The following is a 3,878-nucleotide window of genomic DNA, read 5'->3' as shown; positions in this document are numbered from 1 at the left end:
TTACTCACCTTGCCTGGCTCAACTCATTGTAGGAAGGAGCACCTAAGCAAGTGAGTATGGGGTCTGGCCAGCTGCTTTTGGGCGCCAGCATGAGCAAACTGTGTGCGGGCCCCATGGCAGAATCTAGGTAGAGATGCCTGTGACCCCCTGAAGCTCCAGAGGGTGTGTTACAGTGCCCTTTCAGCTCAGCCATCTGTGGATGGCTTAGGTGTTAACAGCTAAGTGGGCCCTTTGCCTTGTCATGTGGGGCAGCTGCCCTCCACCAGGAAGAGCAAACGGCCAGTGTGATAGCCATTTTTTGGGGGTTATCCACACTCATGGATTAGTACTATTTGTGGATTTTTAAATAAAATTTTAAATATAATTTTATTTGATTTAGCTGAAAGATATTGAAATGGAACTCTAATCTCTACTGAATTTTAGATATATATCTTTATATAGTTTTTTTCTCTGATAGATGTCTCTAACATTAAGAAATAGTATGATATATGTATGCATAGTTTTAGTCATTATTTTTAACCACGCATTTTAATTTTAGCCATTAGCTAAACTTCTGCTATGGAAGTAATTTCATCTCCAATTTATATCATTTATGTCATAATTATAACTTGTCAATAGTTCTGACACTTATTTGCTTCACATTTCTTTGGTCTTTTTGCTATATTTGAAGGAATTCAATGTTCACCATTGAATCAGAGATTATTCCAGAATATTTTGAATTTTTTCTGGTTTGAACATGTCATACAGAATTTGCTTTCAATAAAGACTCATGGATATTAATTCTCATCAAGTTTGGCAATATTTACTCATTGCATTTATGTGAGAATGACCATAATCTAAATCTTAATATCATATACTTAGCTCTCACGTTCTTCCCTTCGGAACTGCGTAAATAATATTCAGTCTTCCAGCTTTAAATGCTACTAAAGAGTTTTTAAGATCTGTCAAATATTTTTTTTTTAAAGTTTCCATTTTGACTAGAAAAAAATCATTACATTTTAAACTCAGAAGCTTAATTTTAATATATTTTTATATATTTTATACATTTTCCAGGCTAATAGTGTGTCTTTATAACACAGCTAATCCAAGATTTAATATATTCATTTTTTATGCTAGAAATTAATTTTTGTTTGATTATTAGGATAATTTTCAGTTCCATTTTTTCTCTGCTTTTGGGACATCAGATTTCAGTTGTCCCTATGTTAAAATATTTTGACTATCCTCATTCTGTATTATTTTTTGTCTAATTGTTTTAATTAATTTTTACTATTCTTAGCTCATTGAGATTGCCTTAAATAATTTCAATTAGTAAATTCACTTTAATGCCATAAGCCTTGATTTCTGTTTCTAATTTATTTATCAATTCTTTCAAGTGTTATTTCAAATTAATTTAACATCTCACCTATATCTTTTATCATTTTGTTTCCTAATCGGATTTTGGATCTAGTATCTATTACCCTCACATTCTTATTTTATTTCAAATATTCTCTTTTGGAGATTCACATATTGTCTCAACCTACTTTTGCTGTTACAAAAAAATAACAGAGATTCATCAATCTATAGAGAAGAGAAATTTATTTTCACACAATTCTGGAAGCTAAAAAGTCCTAGATCAAGATACCAGCAGTTTTGGCATCTGCTGAAGGCCATAAAAGGTGCCTTCTTGGTGTTCTTACAGGGCAGAAAAGATGGAAGATAAATAGTGGGCCAATGCTGTGTTCTTACATGGCAAAGAGTGGAAGAGAAGAAGCCCATTCTTCCAAACCCTTTTATAAGGCCCCTAATTTCATTCATGAAGGTTCTGCCCTCATGACCTTATCACCTCTTAAAGGCCCACCTCTTAGTACTAACACATTGGCAATTCAGTTTCAATATATGAATTTTAAAGGGCACATTCAGACCATAGCATATGTTATGCTTGATTGCCTTCTTAGTCTGTCATTTAGAAAAAAAATTAATATTAGGTAAATGGTTATCAACTCCTGTTTTTTTTTTTTTAACGTGTTTTCTCAGCATTTGCTCTGAATTTGTATAGGTGCCTTAAACTTTTTCTAGGCTATCTGAGACAATTATTTTATTTAGTGTCCAAACTTGAAGGATAGGTATAGTACTCCATTTATTTTTGAAGTCTGTCATTTGAGAAGTAGGGAAGAAGGCAAACTCAAATGGAATTCTGCGCAGTGTGTTTTTTAGTGGAAATAGTCTACATAAAACTACCTTTTCAAAGCCCTTGTGCCATGATTTCTGGACAAAGGGAACAGTGTGTTCATTTTGAATAGGAATACTCTCAACACTTAGCTTAAATTCAATACTAAAGAGTCAGACTTGGTTGTCTCTTTTCCCCTCTCAATTATTCCAGTCAACTGACTTTTTAAAATATATACATGGATAATAATAATTTACTGGATTATATTGAAATTGTCAGTTTAGGAGCTAGGTAGGTGCTTAGGAGCTTCAGGAAAGTGGGTTAATGAAACACTGTGAGATATGTGGAAGAAGAAAAAAAGAGAGATTTATTTGTTACAAAGAGTTATAATCTGCAGGCTAGGAAACAGAGTCTCCAACTAATACCAAAAGCATATGATTCAGAGACAAAAAAAAGAGGCTGGGCTTTATGCCTAACAGGACCCGACCAGTAATGCATACATATTCAGTAGGATATATAATAATCCTAGGAATATTTATGAAGAAGGCCAAACACATGCATGGTGAACAAACCTGTATGTTCATCCCATGTTCACTTTGGCATGGAGACTTAACATTAAAATGAACTGAAACTTGTCTCTTTACATCAAAAAGTCAATCAGAGGGCGTAAAGGCGCCTTGTGCACAGTCATCGTGGGCTGGTCCAAACCAGTCTGTGGTCAGTCGTTATTGCTTAGGAAAGAATGCTTTGTAAGTCCAGTCAGCTGTCCTAGAGAAACCACAGTAAGGGAGGGGAGTCTAGTCATGATGTTAGACAGTCTGTCAACGTTGGTGGAAAAAATCTTTCAGTCATTTTTTTCAGAAACTGGTGTCTGTTCAATTACTAGAAAATAAAGTCCTGTGGCAGTTATAGGGAAGGGGAGTAATGAGGTGCGACTAACCTCCAGCGTTGCCAAAGCCACTGAATCTGTCTGGGGTCTCCTTGCTGCTAAGTTTGTTTTGTTTTGCCTGAAAGCTGAGGGGCTTTATTTTATTTACAGGTGTATCCCCAGGATAATTCAGCTTTAGGATGTTACTATTCCTAGTAATGTTGACAGAGCTAAGAAAATAAATTAGGAACTGTGACTTACCAAGAGAAGAAACTCTCCATCAACCCTAGGTTGGAAAGGAAAAGTAAAAGAAGTGACATTTTAGAGTTCCTTAAGAAGTGGAACTGTGGAAACAAGATAACATGGTAAGAGATGGGGTTGCAGAGAGACACAGCCACTGAAAGCGAGGCGAGGCCAAGGTAGAAAAAGAGCAGGTAAGATAGGAGCTGCTTTCTCTCCTCCTTCTCTTTGATATTCTGCAGTTATCTCTCTTTGTCTGAATATTATTAGAAGACCAGCTGGCAAAAATTCCTGAGTAATGCAAACTGGATTAGTCAGTGTAACTGCAGGATATACATGGATACACACACACAGACACACATGCACAAACACACACACATACAGAGGCAGAGAGAGAGAGAGAGAGAGAGAGAGAGAGAGAGAGAGAGACTGAGGATCAACTTTCCCTAACAGCTGTTAGAAAAACTATTCAGATGAGTCAAATGTGGAAAGTCTCATCCCTCACACAGCAGACACCAGGTCACATCAGCTGGAGTGCTTTTGCACAGCTCTTATAAGATCATCCTTTAGAGTTAATCAGGAGGCTGAAGTTAGTTGTTTAACTTATTTTGTTCGTAAACATTG

General features: G+C 35.9%; 1 annotated feature.

The window, feature by feature from the left end:
* Positions 3,421-3,621: a silencer, noted in NCBI's record as "peak5054 fragment used in MPRA reporter construct". NCBI's record gives its function as "represses an SCP1 promoter by STARR-seq MPRAs in K562 erythroleukemia cells {active_cell/tissue: K562}" and the evidence as "EXISTENCE:reporter gene assay evidence [ECO:0000049][PMID:32103011]".

The sequence above is a fragment of the Homo sapiens genome, chromosome 4 (assembly GCF_000001405.40).
Source record: "Homo sapiens chromosome 4, GRCh38.p14 Primary Assembly".
In the NCBI taxonomy this organism is placed as follows: Eukaryota; Metazoa; Chordata; class Mammalia; order Primates; family Hominidae; genus Homo; species Homo sapiens.
Note: the sequence above shows the minus strand (reverse complement) of the source record. Positions and strands in the feature narration are given on the sequence as shown.